At 38.3% G+C, this 23,195-nt stretch overlaps 1 protein-coding gene across 30 annotated transcripts in view; it reads left to right on the top strand.

Moving 5' to 3' along the window:
* The window catches only part of NEK10 (NIMA related kinase 10), a 262,900-nt gene that overhangs the window by 12,126 nt on the left and 227,579 nt on the right, over positions 1 to 23,195 (top strand). For 27 of the 30 annotated variants that reach the window (XR_001740034.2, NM_001394969.1, XM_047447506.1 and 24 more), the window contains 4 exons: positions 4,339 to 4,446; positions 4,733 to 4,793; positions 11,042 to 11,172; positions 12,888 to 12,986. Coding sequence is in view for 29 of the 30 variants with exons in the window: in NM_001394969.1 (NP_001381898.1) it covers positions 4,376 to 4,446; positions 4,733 to 4,793; positions 11,042 to 11,172; positions 12,888 to 12,986 (362 nt within the window). In the remaining variant the exon portion in view is untranslated. Of the gene's footprint in view, positions 1 to 353; positions 488 to 4,338; positions 4,447 to 4,732; positions 4,794 to 11,041; positions 11,173 to 12,887; positions 12,987 to 23,195 lie in introns of all 30 variants that reach the window. The other 3 variants (XM_017005763.2, XM_047447505.1, XM_017005762.3) reach the window with 1 other exon arrangement.

Genomic DNA, 23,195 nt, shown 5'->3' with positions numbered 1-23,195 from the left:
TATTTGCCTACAACTCACCATTCTCTGGTGAATAGTGGAAGCCCAGTTCCTGGCCTTCTGTGGTAATAAGGCAATTGCAACATCAAAACCTCCCAGAGCAAACCCATACATTTGATATTGGATTTTCCTGATTACCACATAATAACAATATGTGGGGAGTATAGGCTGCTCTGTGGGCATCGAGAAGGAGCACCAGACTTGGGATGTCAGAGGAGGTTCTAAGCCTTAAAATAACTGTTAAAAGCAAATAACTGACAAAATAAGTCACTCCTTACAGATTGTGATACATATTTTTTGAGGGCTTATGCCATGCTTACACTGTGTCATGCACTATGTGCTGTTCTATGTGTCAGGGACATATTTGTGGATGAAACAGACACAGTCCCTGCCATAGGAGGCTTATAAGCTAGTTCAAAGAAGTCAATAAATGGACAAGAGGATTTCCGATGTTGATGAACTCCAGAAGGAAAGAAAACAGAGTGCTGTGGTAAGTATGAGTGTGTGGGGGTGAATATGTCACAGATACTCATCAGAGGAGACCCCACTTAGGAGAGCACATCTGACCTGAAACCCAAAGGATATGGAGAAGCCAGTGTGAGATTATGGGAAAAGAACAGCAAGCAGGCAGAAAGTGCTTAAGGCAAGAATATAGTTGGCATGTTCATGGGCACAAATGGTCTTAGTCTGTTTTGTGCTGCTATGATAGAATACTACAGACTGGGGTATTTATTTATTAGTTTATTTTTAAGAGACAGGATCTTGTGCCGTTGCTCAGGCTGGAACGCAGTAACACCATGAGGGCTCACTGCAGCCTCAACCTCCTGGGCTCAAGCAATCCTCTTGCCTCAGCTTCTTGAAGCTTGCACTACAGGTACACACCACCACACTTGGCTTATTTTTAAATTTTTTGTAGAGATGGAGTCTTGGTATGTTGCCCAGGGTGGTTTCAAACTCTTGACCTTCAAGTGATCCTCCCACTTCAGCCTCTGAAGGTGTTAGGAATACAGGTATGAGCCTTCATGCCTGGCAGACTAGGTAATTTATAAAGAACAGTTCTGGAGGCTGGGAAGTCCAAGATCAAGGTGCTAGTAGGCTTGGTGTCTGGTAAGTGCCCAGTCCCTGCTTCCAAGATGGAGGCTTGAATGCTGTTTTCTCTGGGAGTCACACTTTTTCTTACATGGCAGAAGAGCAAAGAGAGAGAACTCATTCCTGAAAGCCCTTTGTAAAATGCACTAAACCCACTCATGAGGACAGACTCTTGGCTCAATTATCTCTCAAAGGTCCTACCTTTTAATACTGTTTTAGTGGCAATTAAATTTCAACATGAATTTTGGAGAGGATAGACATTCAAACCATAGCATTTGGCATGTTCGTGGGTTCATGTTTCTCTCTAGAAAGCCAACATGGCTGAAGTGGAGGAAGCAAGAGGGAGAGGGGAGGAGGCAAGCTCAGAGCAGTGAAAGTCATGGTTGGAAGCCAAGTCCAATAGAAGGCCACAGGAAGGTTGTAAGCCACAGAGTGGTATGATCTGATTTACATTTTAAAGCATTCCCTGGGGTTCCTGAGGATGTAGAGGAGCAAGAGTGGAAGCAGAGAGACTCTTGAGGGGGTTGTGGCAGTCATCCAGGCAGAGAAGATGGTGGCTTGGAGTAGGGTGATAGTAGGAGTGGAAAGAAGGGAAAGCTAACTAGTTTTGCTGGTGGCTTGAATATGGGAGGTAGAGGAAAGAGAGGAGCCAAGAATGTCCCCTGAACTTTTGTCTAGAGAGCCATTGTGGTACCAGTTACCAAGATGAGGAGCACTAGGGGCATTTGTTACTAGGGGGTGGGGGTCAAGAGTTCTGTTTAGGGTATGTTAAATTTGGGATGCTCATTAGGCATCCATATAGTGACTTTGTGAATTTAGGAGGTCAGAATGGGGTTAGGGCTGAACATATAAATTTATAATTGCTGATGGTATGTAAAACCATGGGACTGCAAGAGATCCTTGGGAGAGGGGGCAGATAGAGAAGGGAGGAGGACCAAGGACTGAGCTGCTAGGACATGAGATCATAACAACATCTGGCGAGGTCAAGCAAAGAAAGAGGGAAATTCAACTCAGTAGTTGGAAGCTAATGCAGCAGGCGCTGCTTAGTTTGTATCCATAGCAAAGATCCTTTACCTTCATTACCCACAGCTCTTCCACATGGAGTCGTTGATTTTAGTGGATATATGTGGGCACTCTGCCCAGAGCCTCTCCCATTCCTTGGGACTGTGTGTCCTCGTATTGGCTTCAATGTTCTGCTTTAACAGCTAGATTCTGTATGTCTTTTTGAGAGGACTGCCTCTAAGTGACTTGGAGTCACTACCACAAGAGAGGAGTGCCTGGGGAGTTATGACTGAAGGCTACAGGAATATGAGAGCCAGGCTCTCACTTCTCTCAGTTTAGACAACTCTGAGGACTAATCTACACTGCAGCATTCCTCCATGGGCTTAGACCAAAGCTACCCTCTAGAGAGCTTTTGTGTTAGCACCCTTGCCTGACCTCTGTTGGGAATGCTTTCTTAATACATTGTCTGCCTTTGGGCAACTTAACATATGAACTGCCCTTCCTTCCCCCATCTCCCATTTTGTATTATAGTGTAGACATTAGTATAATGTAATCATTTTTGTTAATTTAAAATGGGATTAGGTTAACTATTTTAAAGCATTCCCAACTTCTCAAAGCTTTTTTTCAGAATATCTCCATTTAAGCAGCCATTAAATGGAAAGGATTTTGTTTTTTATCCTAAAGACAATTATCTGTTTCTGCTGATACTGGTGAATTTGTTTACTGTTTAGTTAAGTGCAACATTTCCAAAGAGTCATTTATATTCAGCCTTCCAGCTCACAGAGTACATGCTGATCTCAAACAGATATAACGATTAGATCATTATTTCCTGTTCACATACTTGTTCAATACAATTATGGAAATTAAGCAAGAGAATAAGACAGGGTGTTTAGCGAGTTTGATAGTGGTAAACGCGATCCCCTTCTAGCAGAAGAAGCCTGTGAGCTTCTCCATAGGCTCTCCTGTGCTTGTCATTGCGGCTTCTATTTTCTGCTTCTAAACTATAGTCTGTAGCTATAGTTTGAGCAGGAATTCGAAGCCAACAGCAGGACAGTGTGGCTATGTAGAGTATTTCTTCTGTATTTGAGGGAAGAGTAAAGTTAGATTCTATTTATTTTGAATGGATTTCCATTTATTTTAGAACTTACGGGGCATTTTTGTATTTGCATATTAAAAGCACTTGGGTCTTTGGCTTTTAAACACTACCTTGCAGATCCTCCATTCTTTTTACCTCCCCTTCTCTCCCTTCTCCCTTCTCTTTCTTTCTTTTAGAGTAAAAATAGATGCTAAATCTCTACCTGAACACCTCACAAACATGTTTTAAAGTTCACGAGTGGGTTTTTGTTTGTTTTTTTGCTTGTGGTAGAAACGCATACCTGTAATAGCTTCTTTAACCTTTTAGCAGTTTTCAGTCTGAGAGTGGGCACAGTAAAGGGTCAATAAATATTTGTTGAATGAAAGAGGTGGTGTTATATCCTTGGTACAATCCTAAAGTGTTAATATTGTACCTGTTATTGTTGTGCTCCTGTGCTGAGAGACTTGGTCCCTGGCTCTTAATTGTAGCCCAACTATTTGTCAAAAATATGACAAATATATTGGGAAAATCATTTTTAAATCCTTAAACTGTCTTTGAGCATTTCACAAAATTAAATTTCACTAGATTCAGTGGAAGTGAAATGCCCATTGGTACATTCCTTTTGCCTCTAAATACTTCTGAAACACTTGGATTTTGACCATAGATTTCACAATACATTGAAGCATGCTATTATAAGACAATAATGCATACTTTTTCATGCCTGAACAACACATTGAAGTCAAACCGTGGCATTGAAGCACAGTTGGAAAATTTTACATCCAGTCAAATTAAACCCATAGAACACACTTAATTTTGTATTTGTTATGTAATTGAAAATATGGGCATCTTCAACTTTCTATTTCTATTCTGAAAATTAAAATAATTGCATTAGAAATTGATTAAGAAAAATAAAAGCAAACCAATTGTTCTTTGTCTACTGGCAAACCCATACTTATCTTTTGAGTGAGGGTAAAGCATGCCCTAAATGTTCCCAATGTCCTTTGAATGATAAATAGTAAGTGGTATTCATATTAACACTTTTATTATTGTATTAGAACTAAATCTAGGTTTTCCATGTTTAAATAGATGTTATAAGTGGGTTTTGTCTGTATTAACTGAGAATATTTTGGCACACGCAACCCAACTAAAATTTTCCCTCTGGTTTAATTTTAAAGGAATGCGATGTTAATTCTGGGGCATTGATGTTTTACAATGCCTGATCAAGATAAAAAGGTGAAGACCACAGAAAAATCAACTGATAAACAGCAAGAAATCACCATCAGGTAACTCCCTACTGAGTGTTTGCTAATTGTTAACTCAGGCAGTGGCCATTGAACAGATTTAATGGCTTTTTGAGAAATAGAGAAGACTCTTGACAACTACTATTCAGAGTTACAGTGCTTACTGAAACATCTGGTCATTTCTAGTGTTCTAAAGAAAATGTTTAGTGTGTGTATTCATTCCAGTTGATAAAAGCAGGCCTCCAAGTGGCAATGCCATCAGTGGGTAACACGATCTTGTTCACCTGGAGCCTTCTGTGGGTTCACATTGTGTTATTCTCTCTCCTAGGGACTATTCAGATCTTAAAAGACTTCGGTGCCTTTTGAACGTCCAATCAAGCAAACAACAGGTAGCGTTTTCAAAGAATGTTCACTTGGTAATAAAAGAAAAATCATATGTTTCCAAAGGGCTCCATTTAACATATCTATGAATGATATGTCTGCTTTTCTTTGCTCATTATTCACATCTTTGCTCTTTCTTCATCTGGCTGTTTCTCTGACACCTGGTTCAGGCTTTGCCAAGATTTGGCATCCACATTCGTCTCTCAGGCCAGGCCCTGCTTTAGCCTATGCTTCTCACCCTGTGTCCTACTTAGCAAACCCTTTCCTCTTCGGTCTGTAAACAAACTGCATACTCTTTTACTGAACGGCCAACCTTTGGTTTTCTGAGCTTTAGGGAAATTGTTATTTTCAAAGCACTTTCTACCACATTTTTCTCCTCCTTCCCCCTTACTCTTCCCAATCCTGCCCCCTTGCTACAGTGCCACTCTTGAGGCTGCTGCACAATGTACCTCACCAAACAGAGGGGCAAGGAGTGATTTTTGGCTATTTTTATAGTAGCATTTTCATGTTCTTATTAGAGAAAAAATGGTACTTCTGCTTGAATTTATCTCCAAACTTTTCATTTTGGTTTTGCACCTGTGAGACTTTGGAAAGTGATGACATTAGAGGCCATCCAGGGAGGCTTGGGGAACAGCATAGCAATGCTAATAATAATGAAAATAGCAGACACTTATTTAGCACCTTAACTCATAAATGGAAGGGATGGGACTTGAACCCTGGTAGTCTGGCTCTAAAGTCTACATTGTTCTTGCTTAAGTAAATCTGTTTAAGAGCTCTGGTGTTTGGTAATCCAGCCCTGACAGTTTTTGTTATATCAATCACATTTACCAGAGAACTATAGCATTTTTATCTGCTTATACTGGAAAATGATTTGATGGCATGTAAAAGCCAAATAATGATAGTTCGTATTTAGGGAACACTTTCTATGTGCCCGCTGCTTTACCTGCATTACCCTGCTTAATAATTACAACTCCCATTTTTACAGATGAGGAAACAGCCACAAAGAAATCAAGTGACTTTCCCAAGATCATACAGCCTCCTAATTGGTGAAGTCTAGTTCTGAACCCAGACACCCTATCTTTGCAGTGTGTGCTTCTAAATACTGAGATACCTGTTAAATGACTTGCAAAATTAAGTCCGTTCTTTCTTAAAGAGGCAAACAAGATGGCTAGGCATACAGTTTGGAGTGTAGTGCCCATTCTTTCCCACTGTACATCCTGTGATGTAACCATAATATCAAAGACTTCTACTTTTTGCTTTTACTATTTCCTTCTCCTAAATTTCTTTCTTATAAAATCTCACCCATTTCCAAGACCCAACTCTAATGATATTACCTCCATATAGTTTCCATTCTAGAGGTGATCTCTGTCTTCCCAAGGCTCCTTCTTTTACTGCTGTGGCATTATTTTCTCCTGCGCTTTGGAAACTCTTGTTTACGTGTCTTATTTCCTGACAAGATCTTGTATTTCCTAATGCCAGCAACTTTGACTTTTGCCTCTGGTTCACTATATTTGATGAGTTCTTGGCCAGATTTTGCTAAATTGAATTGTGACTTGAGAAATGGGTCACCACATGAGGATGTATAACCTCCTAGCCAGGGCAAAAAACAAAAAAAACCAAAACCAAAAACCAATATAGTTTTTCTGGCTCTAATTTTCCAACTTTGAAGTTTATGCTGACTGGATCTCTCGTGTGCCCTTTCAACACCGCTTGCTTGATAACACCTGGCAGGCTTAATTAAAGTTAATTTAGTGATTTTTTTCCCCCTTTAACCAATTTTCAAATTTGCAATCTGTTGTGGGACAACTTTACATGGCATATATTTTTGTAAAATCTTTCACATGTACAAAAATGTATATTTGTAATGCTTGAGTTATTCAGAAAATAGATGGTGCTAAAAAAATAAAAATACTGTCAATTTAATGAAGATCCTTAGGTTTACAAAATTAATGCCTAATTGTGTTTATAAAAGTTTCATTCATTTGTAATTTTGAAATAAGAAATGTTACCCTGTTCTCCTTTTGGTAAAATAATGTGGAGACATTTATAGGGAGGGAAGATATTGGAGAAAATAACTCAAGTTACACTTATTTATACTTTGCTTGTTCCAGAAAGAGTCATTAAGAGCTTATAAAGAGACAGAAAGTGTGATAGGTTGTCATACATTAAAACCAGGGCCCAAAATAAGAGAAAAACAAGGGTTGGGAGCAAAGTAGAGTTGGGGTCAAGCAGAAATGCTCAACAAAATATACACATGGGCAACATATTTGGTTCGGAGATTTTCAGTACTCAATTTGAAAAGTGAAACCTGTGATTAAGGCCCACTCAGCTGCATTTCTGCGCTAACAAGTTGTGGCCTGTTTTTTGCAAATGAACCAGGCTGGCCAAATTCAGGTTACAGAGGAAATCTACCTTGTAGGTAGAGAGTGCAGAGAACTGAATGCCCTTCCTCTGGATCTCTAAGGAGCGAGGCTACTTCCCCTGTTGTTCCATTGTGTTCCAGTGTTCTACTTTTGTTCTTTGTCCTGACCTACACTCTGTGTATCTCTGCATATCTCTAGGACAGTCTCATAATGTGACAGAACTGGAGACAGAGACACACAGAGGCAGAAAGGCCTCCTTCAGGATGAGCAGGCTTAGAATAATCATAATCCAGGAAAACCCAATAACTCAAGAGAAAGAACTGCCCCAGGATTACTGAGGCAAAGTGAAACTACAAAGCTGATTGGAGATGTCACCAGAGCTTTTCACAAATCTTGAAGCAACCTGATGAGACCTGGAATTCAGATTATTTTCTTCCTCCACATTTAGAGCCATAGGAAGCTAAGGAATTTATTTGGAATTTTAAAAAAAGATGGAAGAAAGAAGAAAATTAATTTGTTATGGGCTTATTAATTGTCTTGAAATAAAGGTTTTGATAGATGCTGTAGAAAGAACACGTATAAGGCATGGTGGTGGTTCTTATGTTTTGAGAGAGCGGGAGTAGGCACAGATAATTATGGTATAAGGCAAGACACCATCCTGGTTGAATGATGCATGCAGTGAGCATATAGCTTTTGAGGAATAGGAAGCCAATTTTAGCTTGAATGACAGGGAAGGAGGTGGTTCTTAAAAAATAGGCTGCTTTTCCGTCAGTGGAATTGATAGAAAGGGCATTCTAGGTGAAGTGAGTAAAATAATCAAATATCTGAAGGAAGGAAAATGACAAGCATTTAAGTAAAAGGGTGACTAGACATTTCTATTCGATAAATAAAGCTGGAAGACACTATGTAATGTCTGAAAGCCTATCTGTGAATTTTGGACTTGATTCCATCAGCAACAGAGAACGTTGAAGTTTGCAAGCAGAAGTGACACGACTTTCTTGACATTCTGGTCCATGGACTGCAACCCCCTTCCGTGACCCATGGGACTGTAAGCTCCTTGAAGACAAGAGACCATGACTGTTCTGCTTACTGTATATATACAGTGTCTCAAGCAATGTCTGGTATATGATGTGTCTGCAACAAATACACTGAATTAATGGATGAACTTTTCTGAAGGTGGTTTAGCAGATGAATTAGTTTGGCAAAGAGACTGGGAACAAAGTGAGCATTTGTTCCACAGCTTCACATTTGAATACCTACAATATGCCCAGCTCTGTGAGAGGTGCTAAGAACACAAAGATTAATAGATGTGATGCTGCCCTCAGGGTGGCCAAATTCAAGGGGAAAGGATGTTGCGTAAGCTATACATTATACTAGCCTGAGATAAGTTTTGAAAGAGAGGTAAGCATGGTATTGCCACCAGGAAAGGAATGAACAACTCTATCCAGGAAGGCCTGGGCAAGTGCTTGTCAGGAGGTTAAGTCACACCCTGACCCAAGATCAGGAGTAACAGGCTGCAGATGCCCAGGTGTGGAGAGATCAGACACACAGAAGATAGACAAACTGGGGACCCAAGAGAAAAGACTCTAGGTTTTGAACCGGATTCTGAATGTACATTTCTTTCATATGAAGTGCTACTTGCTTCAAGGTGCCTACTATTAGGTTCCTGGTCTTTGCAACTATCGATGCCAAATCCATCTTATCCACCCGTTTTCCATGAGTTGATTTCCGATACAGGCCACCTGCTCTGCCTGCAAAGGGAATGGCTGCAAGCTGCGGCAGCTTTCCACTCCTCTCTTGGAATCACCTGGGCTTGCTTTCTCTGTGCTGGCTAATTTCTCTCTTGCAAACTTTTCTAGGAGTTGTACTAATGGTAAGGGGGTTTAGAATCTCTTGGGCCTGGAAAACCTACTTCTTTTATGCGGTATATCATGATATTTTGAGTATAATATGGGAAAATTTGCTTGTGCTGCTACTTCATGTTAGATATCATTTGGATTAATAGTTCATATTCAGAAATCACCTAATTTGTAATGACAAATTTTATTCGTTTAGCAAAATTCATCTGTATAATAGGAATAATTATGAGGATTAAAAGAGTATGTACAAAGCAATTAGAACTATGCTTGACACATAACAAGTGTTTTATAAATAGTAACTCATGCAATTTTCATAACCCTAGAGTTATATACTATTATTATTTCCATTTTAATGATACAGAAACTGATGCACAGAGAGATTGAGTAAATTTTCTAAGATTATGCAGCTAGTTAATGGTAGATTTAAATTCATAGAATCTGGCCAGGGAATTTGTTCTCTTAACCACTAAGCATTGCTGGCTCAGCCTATTGTCTTTTGGTGGTTGTAGATTGGCTGACCGAATTGAGATAGAAAAGTAGTTTTATAGGATGGAAGATTTATTATTAACATTTTGAAAATCTGACTGTGGCTGGCATATGATAAAAAAGGATTTTAGTTTTTTTGTTAACTATTAAACAATGTCTTTATTATAATCCATTTTTCTGTAAGCTGACATTATAAAAAGTCAGGCATATTCTCTTTGAATAAAAAAATGATGTCTTTTTTTTTTTTTTTTTTTTTTTTTTTGAGACGGAGTTTCACTCTTGTTGCCCAGACTGGAGTGCAATGGCACGATCTTGGCTTATCGCAACCTCTGCCTCCTGAGTTCAAGTGATTCTCCTGCCTCAGCCTCCCAAGTAGCTGGGATTACAGGCATGTGCCACCACACCTGGCTAATTTTGTATTTTTAATAGAGACGGGTTTCTCCATGTTGGTCAGGCTCCCGAACTCAGGTGATCCACCCACCTGGGCCTCCCAAAGTGCTGGGATTACAGGCATGAGCCACTACGCCTGGCTGAAAATGATGTCTTCATACTGATTTACATTAAATACTTCAGTGAAATAAGACAACAAGTGCAACATATTATAACTTTGGTAATATATAAAATGGAAAAATTTACTGAAAAATGATTTTTTTGTTATGTTATACTCTGCTTACCTCATCTGTAATAATTTAGCTAATTATAGAACGTCCTTCATTTGTACTTTGGAAAAAACAGGATATTTGTCTATACCATGCCCAACTTTATTGTGTTATCAGAAACCTTAGGGTTACCCCAATTATAGACAAATACTGGTAAGTGAAACTATTTGAATACTGATAACCTGACAATTTATTATTGCAAGTGAAGCATAGTGAAGTTGTTGTAGTTAAATTTTTACTTATGGTAAATTTGATAATATATTTTAATGTCTTTTATAAATATGATTGAGTAATCAGGATGTTCAGACTGATTAAAAGTGGTAGAATCTTCTTTATTGTTATATCCCTAACACCAGGAAAATAGTGTGTACACCTGGTAAATATTGAAGAATGAATGAATGTATGATGACTCATTCTCAATTTGGGCACTCTGCTCTATATCAGAGTGTTCTACCTGGATCCAGGAGCTCTCTAGTCAGCTTGCACGTTTGAATCACATGAGAAACTTCAAAACCTCCTGATGCCCAGGTGTCACCCCAAACCTATATCTGTTTTAGGTGCTGGGGTAATAGCATTGAACAAAAACAGGCAAGTTCCTGCTTGTGTTGACGTGACATTGTAATCAAGGGAGACTAAAAGTACATAAATAACTGTCAGATATGACAAGTGGTGTTACAAGCTATGAAGAAAAATAAAACAGTGTAAGGTAGATGTTTAAGTCAAAGACACTTGATTTGAATCTTGGAAAACCCTTACATTTGAAAGGGTTGTTATCTTAATTATTGGCCTGGAAAAAATCTCAGTCTCTTCATCCTCCCCATATTTTGTTACTTTCTTTATCCCGTGCTGAATTGTGATCCTCATGTACTCTATGCTTCTATTTCTGTAGCTTCCAGCCATTAACTTCGATAGTGCCCAAAATAGCATGACGAAGTCTGAGCCCGCCATCAGGGCGGGTGGACACAGAGCTCGGGGTCAGTGGCATGAATCCACAGAAGCTGTTGAACTTGAAAATTTTAGGTAAGAAATCCAGCATCTCCTTCGTCTTCAGCAACTTATTCTGCTTAGCTCACAGTTTTATTTAAGTTTATCCCAGGAGCTAAAATTTAAAACCCGCTTCAAAATTTACCATAGCGATTCTTAATTTAATATTTTCAGTTAGTGCTTAAACCATTCCCAGAAATAATATGTAAATAACAGGTTTAATGGGTACAGGTGGAACTGACCTGGGAGATTTAGGACCCTATGCTGACATGCGTTTGGCATTGCTCAATGAGGAAGTGGTTCCAGATTATTGACCTGGTTAGGCTTGTCCCAATCTTTGTCTGTCTAGATCTTGCCAGTAATGAGATGGCATAAAAGGAGCCGTTGCTGTGAACAGATGTGGTGGTTAAAGTATATCGTTGTCAAAACAACTGAGGTTTTCAGTTGAAGGGCTTGCGGCACACCTCTAACATTGAAAGTGTCAGGTAATGTTCATCTCTGTTGCCAAGCAGACCTCTGCAAAGCTACACATTCTTGTGGGCCACTCCCCTCTCGGGAGCTGGTTCTCTCAGTTTTACAGTGTGCTTGGGTCATTTGGCACTAAGTACCATGTAAATAGTGAGTGGCATGAAATATCAATATGAATATTCTAGAAGGATCATTTGTTTATTTGGCCTAGATTTTGTTTTTGTTTCCCTGTCATCTTATGACAACAAATTTAATAGTATGGGAAAGTTACATGACATTTCATGTGTTCATATTTTAAAAATATATTTTTAGTGAGGAACACTTAAATACTTAAAAAATTGTCATATAGTGAGTACCAGTGCCCGTGTACTAAGAAACCATTACAGCCCTCAGGTGACTAGGATGGGGACATGCTGTCCAATGGCATCTGAAAGACTGAGAAGGCAGAACATTACGCATGGCAACATAAGGTTACACACCTTTCCTTTGAGGTTGTATGTTCATGGAATTCCAGCTTATTTGTTCTAGATCTGAAAATTAGTTTTATTTAATTATGCACAAAAATATTGTATCATGTATTTGGTAGCAATGTGACCCTTTCATTTTTTCTTATCCTTTTCTAGTTTTAAAATAGAATGTTTTAGAGGTATTTTTAACCTCTTTGGTGGGCTGTAAGATCAGCAAAAAGAAGCTGAAGCTGGAATATCTCAGAATTTTTTAAACACACACACAAAACCATATAAACAATCAACAGTGACAGTCAACATGGCTGAAGGTGCATAAACTGTGTTAATAAACTCTTCTTATCTAGAAGGTATTATAAATGATAACCACTGGTGTTGATAGCAAGATCAGCCAGTGGGGTCGAGGGTATGTGGAAAAGTGGAGAGGGAATTCTTCTCTTCCTGTTACACAGCTGTCTAAATAATGTGCCCCAATCATTCTTTCTCTCCATTTACCCTTTTCTTCCCTCCAACCAATTTTAGCCATTAGTGTTTATAGGGAATAATTTAATGAATATGATAAAAGGAAATACATATGCTTGACTATATTTTATTTTTAACCTTATAATTGAATTTCTACTTCTTATTTTAACAGCTGATAGTTGCTTTTAGCAACATGTTAAACGCAAGGCTCCTTCAATATTTGCCTGAATCCTCATTAGTATAGTGGTTAGTAATAATAAAAATGTTACCTGAATATAGATGATCTTTGTCTGCACTGGCAACTTTGAGACAGCCTGATCTCTATTACAAAATCCTTTTCTGTTTGTTTTGTCTCAGTATAAACTACAAGAATGAGAGAAATTTCAGCAAACATCCTCAGCGTAAACTATTTCAGGAGATCTTTACCGCCTTGGTGAAAAATAGACTCATAAGCAGGTAAGATTGTTCCTGGAAAACAGGCTTTTACTGAAGAGTGGCATATGTCATCTATCTTGTCTCTAGAACATGATTTGAAACATCTTACAGGATTGAACATGTCATTAAAGGAAAGAAGGAGGCAAATGAGTAGGCATTACAGATGATCTCATTAAAATCACTGATTAGGTACTGAATTTAGCTGAATTTTATGACAGATAAGGAAAAATGGGAAAACACTCGTTATCATGTTTTCTTTATTTTCTTTGAGTTTGGATACTCAAGGAGGAATTTATTGTGTGGGACCTTATGAAAGAGACATTGGACAACACCACGGACAACATTCTTATGCTGCACTTTTGCAGTGATTTAATGACTGATTAAATGGACTGCGCAAGCCTTGATCTTGAGGAAAGAAAGGATGAGTGTGTAACATCCAGCCACAGCCTCATAAAGATGTTTCTTTTCAGGACCAAATCGAACATTCCTTTCTTTGCCTTCTTAACACAGGTGCAGTGTTGGGACTGTAGAGGAAGGATTAGTTAACAAGTCCTCTGGATTCTCTCTCACAAATATCAGGGGTTTTCAGGGAGCCATTGATTGTTGCTGGATTGCAGTCAGGTCCGAATTTTCTGTCCGTTCTGAGCTGCTTCATAGAAGAGCTGGGTATGCTGCTGCCAGATGCAAAGGAGGCTCCTAACAGTGTGTCATTATAGGGTCTTGTCTTTTGCTCTTTTCAGGAGGCGCATACTCTTCACAGATGCATCAGCTGAAAAATGCCTATAAAGAACCTTAAATCTTCCTTGTCACTTTGTTGTGATTTGATTGAGATATGTGAATTCCATCCCAGTGAAAATGGAAAAACATTATTTCTATGGTGAAAAATAAAAATAGGAGTATTAATAATTTAATACCTTGATCAAAATAAAACTCTGACTTGGCCCAGTGCAATAGCTGATTTTAAGTAGAACAGCATTCTGACAGGTCCTCCATGACGAGTCAGCTACTCAATACGTGCTTAAGTGATGACTTCATATCTCCATCTTTTAGATGGGGTCATTTAGTATTATGTATTTAAGTATTGGACTTAAATGACTGTCCAATACATTACTTTTGTTTAAAACAATACAGAATTGAGACTGCATCTGTCATCCCTTTGTACTTAATTTAAGCAGAGGATTATTAGACTGGCTCAGATGATACAAGAAGCCTAAAATCTTTACCAAGGTTATGTAATTGGGTCACTGTTCAGTTATACAAGAAGCCTAAAATCTTTACCAAGGTTATGTAATTGGGTCACTGTTCAGTTCTCGATTACACATTCAAAGATTGTTCAAAGATTAATGAACACTGCAAAGAACCTGAAGTTACATATATATTTCAACTGTTTTCTGCTTAGATTGAATGGAGTGAAACAATGGTAATAACAGAATCATTATGCATAAGGTGGTATTAGGAAATAAAGTTCTTTTTTTTTTTAAAGCCAGCTCACATGGACTCTTCAAGAGATGCCCAGTAGACTATTTATTGGGTCAATACTTTGGGGGAAGGCACTAGATGCAGAAATTGTTAGGGAAAATAACCGGGCACTGGTTGGCATCAACTAGTTGAAAAAGATCTCAACAATTCTAAAGTCGAGAGATCTCTTTTCAGGGTGTTTAAAAATTCTTAGTGATTAAAGGAGCATCTTAGGCTGGATGAAGTTACTGGCTTGTAACATGAGCAGTACCTGGAAGTCTTCAAACTAGGAAGAGATAATTGTAGATCTCTTTGCTTTCATAGTATGAGATGGAATTCAGGAATGTTGAACATCAAGGGCATCCTTTTATGTCATCCTGTGGCTGCTGACAGCTTGTTATGTTCAGTTCTATTCTAAAGGCATTGGGTAAAAGATGGCTTAAATATAAAGGTTTTCCATTGTGCCTCACCCCATGTAACCTTGCTAAAATAGCCAGGATCATCCCTCCTTTTTTTTCTTCCCTTCTAACTTTAGACTTATAGAAGAATTACACCTCAGGACCTTTTCTGATATGGCTTGTTATGCCCTTTCTTTGCAAACATGAGATTTAGTGTTGGGTTGAAGGCTTAGATTCAATTTGATAAACAAAATGGTAAGCATGTACTGTGTGCAAGGAAGGGAGGAAGTAAGTGGTGAAGAAGGACAGGAGGGTGAAATTAAAAAAATTAACAGGACATGTGGTCCTCTTCTCCCTGGGGACTCAAATTCTACTCAGATCAGCAAGACAATTACACAATAAAGGAAAATGTACTAAATATACACAATTTGTATTAACACAACTAACTAAAGGCTGCATGAGATTGAGGGGTGGGTGGGAATTTGGGTCCTTGGTCCAATTATGGTTGTAGATAAGACATTCAGCGTGTTATGCTACTCAATTTTGCCCTGAAAATATGACTTATTGGGAATTTAGTCTCATTTGTGAAGTGTGACCCCTTTCAACTCATTTCTCAATGTCTACCCAATTGGTGATAATGTTCCTCTTCTATTTTACTTACCCCAACTCCAGCTTTTCCCTAAATCACATTTGTGGACACCTCCTTTCTGTGTTTTCCTAAGATTGATTTGTGATTACTCCCCCATTCTCAGAATGAAATTGCCAGATGGCATCTGAAACTGGAAAAGACTTGTTAATCCAGAGTCAGATAAGGTAACACTGCAAATACCTCACAGTAAATCTCAAAGGACAAGGGAAAGTATCATCCCTGAGCCTGGGGTTACTGCTAGTTACACAATGGTAACTAATCTTTAAAAAAATCCTTTTATAATAGTATTTATTTATAATATACTGCTATATAATATTTTACATATTTATGGGGTACATGTGGTATTTTGTTACATACATAGAATGTGTAATGATCAAGTCAGGGTATTTGAGGTGCCCACATCACTTTGAGGATTTGTCAGTTCTATGTGTTGAGAACTCTCTTCTAGCTACTTTGAAATAGACAATACATTGTTGTTAACTATAGTCACGCGATTCTGCTGTCAAATGATGGAACTCATACCTTTCATCTAACAATACATTTGTACCCGTTAACCTACCTGTTTATCCCCCCTTGCACTCACCCACCCTTCCTGGACTCTGGTATCTATTATTCTACTCTCTATCTTTATGAGACTGACTTTTTTTAAGCTCCCATGTATGAGTGAGACCACATAATATTTGTCTTTCTATGCCTGGGTTATTTCACTTAACATAATGCCTTCCAGTTCCATCCATGTTGCTATAAATGATGTGATTTTTTTCTTTTTTATGGCCAAATAATGTTTCATTTTATATATATACTACATTTTAAAAATTCATTTGTTTGTTGGTGTACACTAAGGTTGATTCCATATCTTTGCTTTTGTGAACAGTGCTGCAATAAACATGTGAGTGCAAGTATCCCTTTGTTATACTGATTTCTTTTTCTTTGGATAGATACCCAGTAGCAGAATTGCTGGATCATGTGGTTCTATTTTTATTTTTTTGAGAAATCGTCATAAGGTTCTCCACAGCAGTTGTACTAATTTGCATTCCCACAAACAGTGTATGAGTTCCCTCTTATCCACATCCTCATCTGTTAGTTTTTTGTCTTTTAATCATAGCTGTTCTAACTGGGGTAAGATGATATCTCACTGTAGTTTTGATTTGCATTTCTCTGATGATTAGTGATGTTGAACTTTTTTTCATATACTTGTTGGCTATTTGTATGTCTTCTTTTGAGAGTTGCCAATTCATGTCCTTTGCCCACTTATTTTATTTTATTTTACTGTAAGTTCTGGTATACATGTTCAGAACGTGCAGGTTTGTTACATAGGTATACATGTGCCATGGTGGTTTGCTGCACCTATCCACCCGTTGTCTAGGTTTTAAGCCCCACATGCATTAGGTGTTTGTCCTAATGCTCTCCCTCCTTTTGCCACCCACCACCCAATAGGCCCCAGTGGGTGATGTTCCCCTCCCTGTGTCCATGTGTTCTCATTGTTCAACTTCCACATATGAGTGAGAACATGCGGTGTTTGGTTTTCTGTTCCTGTGTTAGTTTGCTGAGAACGATGGCTTCCAGCTTCATCCATGTCTCTGCAAAGGACATGAACTCATTCTTTTTTATGGCTGCATAGTATTCCATGGTGTATATGTGCCACATCTTCTTTATACAGTCTATCATTGATAAGCATTTGGGTTGGTTCCAAGGCTTTGCTATTGAAAATGGTGCTGCAATAAACATATATGTGCATGTGTCTTTATAGTAGCATGATTTATAATACTTTGGATATTACACAGTAATGGGATTGCTGGTTCAAATGTTATATCTGGTTCTAGATCCTTGAGGAATTACCATGCTGTCCTCCATAATGGTTGAACTGATTTACACTCCCACCAACAGTGTAATAGTGTTCCTATTTCTCCACAACCTCGCCAGCATCTGTTGTTTCCTGACTTTTTAATAATCACCATTCTAACTGGCGTGAGATGCTATCTCATTGTGGGTTTTTTTTTTTTTTTTTTGAGATGGAGTCTCGCCCTGTGGCCCAGGCTGGAGTGCAGTGGCCCGATCTCGGCTCACTGCAACTTCTACCTCCCGAGTTCAAGCAATTCTCCTGCCTTAGCCTCCCAAGTAGCTGGGACTACAGGTGCACACCACCACACCTGGCTAATTTTTGTATTTTTAGTAGAGTCAGGATTTCATCATATTGGCCAGGCTGGTCTCAAACTCTTGACCTCGTGATCCTTCCACCTTAGCCTCCCAAAATGCTGGGATTACAAGCGTGAGCCACTGTGCCCAGCCCTCATTGTGGTTTGGATTTGCATTTCTCTAATGACCAGTGATGATGAGCTCCTTTTCATATGTTTGTTGGCTACATAAATGTCTTCTTTTGAGAAGTGTCTGCTCATATCCTTTGCCCATTTTTTGATAGGGTTGTTTGTTTTTTTCTTGTAAATTTGTTTAAATTTCTTGTAGATTCTGGATATTAGACCTTTGTCAGATGGGTAGATTGCAAAAATTTTCTCCCATTTATAGGCATGGACAAGGACTTCCTGATTAAAACACGAAAAGTAGTTGCAACAAAAGTCAAAATGGACAAATGAGATCTAATTAAACTAAAGAGCTTCTGCACAGCAAAGGAGACTATCCTCAGAGTGAACAGGCAACTTTGCCCACTTTTTAATGGTATAATTTGCTTATTTTTTGCTATTGAGCTGTTTGAGTTCCTTGTATATTTTGGATATTAGTCGCTTGTTGATGAATAGTTTGTAAATATTTTCTCCTATTTAACAGGTTGTCTCTTCACTCTCTTGATTGCTTCCTTTGCTGTGCAGAAGTTTTTAGTATATTATAGTTCTATTTGTCTATTTTTGTTTTAATGTCTGTGCTTTTGAGGTCTTAGCCATAAAATCTTTGCCTAGACCACAACCTACAGAATGGGAGAAAATTTTTGCAATCTAGCCATCTGACAAAGGGCTAATATCCAGAATCTACAAAGAATTCCAACAAATTTACAAGAAAAAAACAAGCCCATCAAAAAGAGGGCAAAGGATATGAACAGACACTTCTCAAAAGAAGACATTTATGCAGCCAACAGACATATGCAAAAATGCTCATCATCACTGGTCATCAGAGAAATGCAAATCAAAACCACAATGAGATATTATCTCACGCCAGTTAGAATGGCAATCATTAAAAAGTCAGGAAATAACTTAGGATGTGGAGAAACAGGAACACTTTTACACTGTTGGTGGGAGTGTAAATTAGTTCAACCATTGTGGAAGACAGTGTGGCAATTCCTCTAGGATCTAGAACTAGAAATACCATTTGACCCAGCAATCCCCATTACTGGGTATGTACCCAGAGGATTATAAATCATTCTACTATAGACACATGCACAGGTATGTTTATTGCGGCACTATTCACAATAGCAAAGACTTGGAACCAATCCAAATGTCCATCAATAATAGACTGGGTAAAGAAAATGTGGCACATATACACCGTGGAGTACTATGCAGCCATAAAAATGATGAGTTCATGTCCTTTGCAGGGACGTGGATGAAGCTGGAAACCATCCTTCTCAGTAAAATATTACAAGGACAGAAAACCAAACACCGCATGTCCTCACTCATAAGTGGGAGTTGAACTATGAGAATACATGGACACAGGGAGCGGAAGATCACATACCGGAGCCTGTTGGGGGGCTGGGAGAGGGATAGCATTAGGAGAAATACCTGATGTAAATGATGAGTTGATGGGTGCAGCAAACAAACATGGCACATATATACCCATGTAACAAACCTGCACGTTGTGCACATGTACCTTAGAACTTAAAGTATAATAATAAAAGAAGAAAAACATTAAAAACTAGCAATCAAAACCCTAAAAAAAAATCTTTGCCTACACCTTCCTATGTTTCATAGGAAAGTGTTTTCTGTTTTTAGTTAGTAGTTTCATAGTTTTGAATCTTAATGTTTAAGTCTTTAATCCATCTTGTGTTGATTTTTGTATATGGTGAGAGAGAGATAGGGGTCCAGTTTCATTCTTCTGCATACTGATATCCAATTTCTTCTGCACCATTTATTGAAGAGGGTGTCCTTTTTGCAGTGAATATTCTTGGTGCCTTTGTTAAAAATCAATTGGCTGTAAATATGTGGATTTGTTTTGGGGTTCTCTATTCTGTTCCATCAGTCTATATGTTTGGTTTTATACCATTACCATGCTGTTTTGGTTACTATGGCCTTGTAATATATTTTGAAGTCAGGTAGTGTGATGGGTCCTGCTTTGTTCTTTTGCTCAGGATTGCTTTGGCTCTTCTGGTTTTTGTTTCATATGAATTTTATTTCTTTTTTTTCTATTTCTGTGAAATATGATCTTTTGATAGGGATTGCATTGAATCTGTATATTACTTTGGGTAGTATGGTCATTTTAATGATATTCTGATCCACGAGCATGGAATGTCTTTCCTTTGTGTCCTCCTTAGTTTCTTTCATCAGTGTTTTGTAGTTTTCCTTGTAGACGTCTTTTACCTCGTTGGTCACATTATTTTTCTAGGTATTTTATTTTTTTGGTAGCTATCGGAAATAGGATTGTCCTCTTGATTTCTTTTTCAGCTATTTCATTGTTGGTGTATAAAAATTCTACTGATTTTTGTAGGTTGATTTTGTATCCTGCAACTTTACTGAATTTAGTTTTCATACCTGAGTCTTTGGTTTTTCTAAATATAAGATCCTGTCATCTGCAAAGAGGTACATCTTCCTTTCCCCCCCGCCAAATGTGTATGCCTTTTATTTCTTTGTCTTGACTTATTGTTCTGGCTAGGACTTCCAGTACTATGTTGAATTTGAGTGGTGCAGGTAGACAGCCTTGTCATGTTCCATTTCTTGGAGGAAAAACCTTCAGTATGATATTGGCTGAAGTTGATATTTTTCTATATGGCCTCTATTATGTTGAGGTATGTTCCTTCTATGCGTAGTTTGTTGAGAGTTTTTAATCAGGAAGGATATTGGATTTTATCAAATGCTTTTTCTGCATCTATTGAGATGATCATATGTTGTTTATCGTTCATTCTGTTGATGTGATGTATAACATTTATTTACTTTTGCATGCCAAACCATTCTTGTTTCCCTGGTGTAAATCCCACTTGGTCATAATGTATTATCTTTCTGATACGCTATTTAATTTGGTTTGCTAGTACTTTGTTGAGGATTTTTACATCTATGTTCATTAGGGATACTGTTCTATAGTTTTCATGGTTTTTGTTCTATTCTTGTCTTGTTTTGTTATTAGGGTAATGCTGGCCTCACACAATGAGTTAGAGAGAATTCCTTCCTCTTCAATTTTCTGGAATAGTTTCAGGAGGATTGATATTAGTTCTTCCTTATATGTTTGGTAGAATTCAGCAGTGAATCCACCAGTCCTAGGCTTTTCATTTTTAAGAGAATTTTTATTACTTATTTAATCTTGCTACTCATTATTGGTCTGTTGTTTTTTTATTTCTTCCTGCTTCAACCTTGGGAAGTTGTAGTTTCTAGGAATTTATCCATTTCCTCTAGGTTTTTCAGTTTGTTAGCATATAATTGTTCATAATAGTCTCTGATGATCTTTTGTATTTTTGTGTTGTCAGTTGTAATATCTCCTTTTCCATTTCTGATTTTGGTCTGGGTCTTTCCGTCTTTGTTAGTCTAGCTAGCGATTCATTAATTTGTTTATCTTTTTGAAGAACCAACTTTTTGTTTTATTGATGCTTTGTGTTGTTTTTTAGCCTCTATTTTGTTTAATTCTGCTCTGATCTTTTTTGTTTCTTTCCTTCTGCTAATTTGGGGTTTGGTTTGTTCTTGCCTTTCTAGTATCTTGAGGTGTATTATTAGATTGTTTAAAATCTTTCTACTTTTTTGATGTAAGCATTTTATTGCTATAAACTTCCTTCTTAGTACAGCATTTGCTTTGTCCTACAGGTTTTGGTATGTCGTGTTTCCACATTCATTTGTTTCAAGAAATTTTTCTATTTACATTTTAGTTTCTTTATTGACTCAATGGTCATTCAGGAGCAAATGTTTAATTTCCATGTATTTGTGTAGTTTCCAAAGTTCCTCTTGTTATTGATTTTTAGTTTTATTCCATTCTGCTCTGAGAAGATACTTGATATGATTTCACTTTTTAAAAATGTGTTGAGACTTACTTTTTAGCCTAACATGGTCTATCATGGAGAATGTTCTATGTACTGAGGAGAAGAACTGTATTTTGCAGTTGTTGAGTTGTTGGATAAAATGTCCTGTTAATGTCTGTTATGTTCATTTGGTCTAATGTCCAGTTTAAATCCAACGTTTCTTTGTTGATTTTCTACCTAGAACCTCTGCTTACTGCTGAGAGTGGGGGTTTTAAAGTCCCTCGCTATTATTGTATTAGAGTCTATCTCTCTCTTTAGATCTAGTATTATTTGGTTCTTTTTTTTTTTTTTGAGACAGAGTTTCACTCTGTCACCTAGGCTGGAGTGCAATGGTGCATTCTCGGCTCACTGCAACCTCCAACTCCCAGGTTCAAGCGAATCTCCTGCTTCAGCCTCCCAAGTAGCTGGGATTACAGGTGCCTGCCACCAAGCCTAGCTAATTTTTGTAGTTTTTAGTAGAGAGGGAGCTTCACCATGTTGGCCAGGCTGGTCCTGAACTCCTGACCTCAGGTGATCCACTCGCCTCCGCCTCCCAAAGTGCTGGGATTACAGGTGTGAGCCACCGTGCCCAGCCACTTTGGTTCTTTTTTTAAGATATCTATGTTTTTGGTAAATTTCTAATTTGTATCCTGAATTGTTTTTCTGATTTATTTATATTTTTTGGACTTTTCTTATATCTCACTGAACTTCTTTTGAAACAATTTGAATTCTTTTTCCATGATTTTCTGAATTTATTTTTGATTGGGATCTATTGTTGGATAATCATTGTTCTCCTTTGGAGGTGTCATATTTCCTTTCTTTTTCATGTTTCCTGTGTTCTTACACTGACATCTGCACATCTGGTATAATAGTCACTTCTAATTTTTAAAATTGGCTTTCATATGGGAAGATTTTTTCCTGAGGATGAATCTATAATGTTGGTTGGGTAGGGTACTTTGGTTTTGATTCTGGGTGAGTACAGTTGTGCAGTCTCTGTATGATTTCTTTCTCTATAAACAGTGTCAGTGATATCTGAGATTTCCCCAGTGGCTTAGGCTGTAGTTATTATTGGAGGCTGGGGTGTAGTTTTGGTGGAGACTGGGACACAAGGTAGGCTAGTCTTCAGTCTCCTGGGGAGGCATCAGTGGGATATCATGCCTATCCTGGGGACCCTAGATGGCATACACTGCCACTAGTGTTAGCAGGTCCAGTTGGGTCTATTCTTGGGCCTCCAAGTGGCTTACTTGGATGCCAGTAGTGACAACCATGGGCTGGACAGGTAGAAGGGTTCTCATGCCCCTGAGCAGCTGGTATGTTTGAGTGATGGTAGTGGCAGTTGTAGGACTAACCTCTAAGTCCCAAGTAATGCATGCTGGTGTTGGTGGTGGCTGCAATGGGCTAGGCACACTAGTTTCCAGGCCTGCAGGCAGCACATGCTGGTAGGTGCCAGCTGTGGTTGTAGTGGCTTGGTGGGTAAGCTCAACTTCAGGCCCTTGGGAGGAGGGTTTAGGTGCCAGTGGTGGTAGACTAGGCTGGGCAATCCCCTGGCCCTTGGACTGTATGCTCTGGCATGGAGGGGAGGGTGAAGC

This window comes from Homo sapiens, chromosome 3 (genome assembly GCF_000001405.40).
Source record: "Homo sapiens chromosome 3, GRCh38.p14 Primary Assembly".
In the NCBI taxonomy this organism is placed as follows: Eukaryota; Metazoa; Chordata; class Mammalia; order Primates; family Hominidae; genus Homo; species Homo sapiens.
Note: the sequence above shows the minus strand (reverse complement) of the source record. Positions and strands in the feature narration are given on the sequence as shown.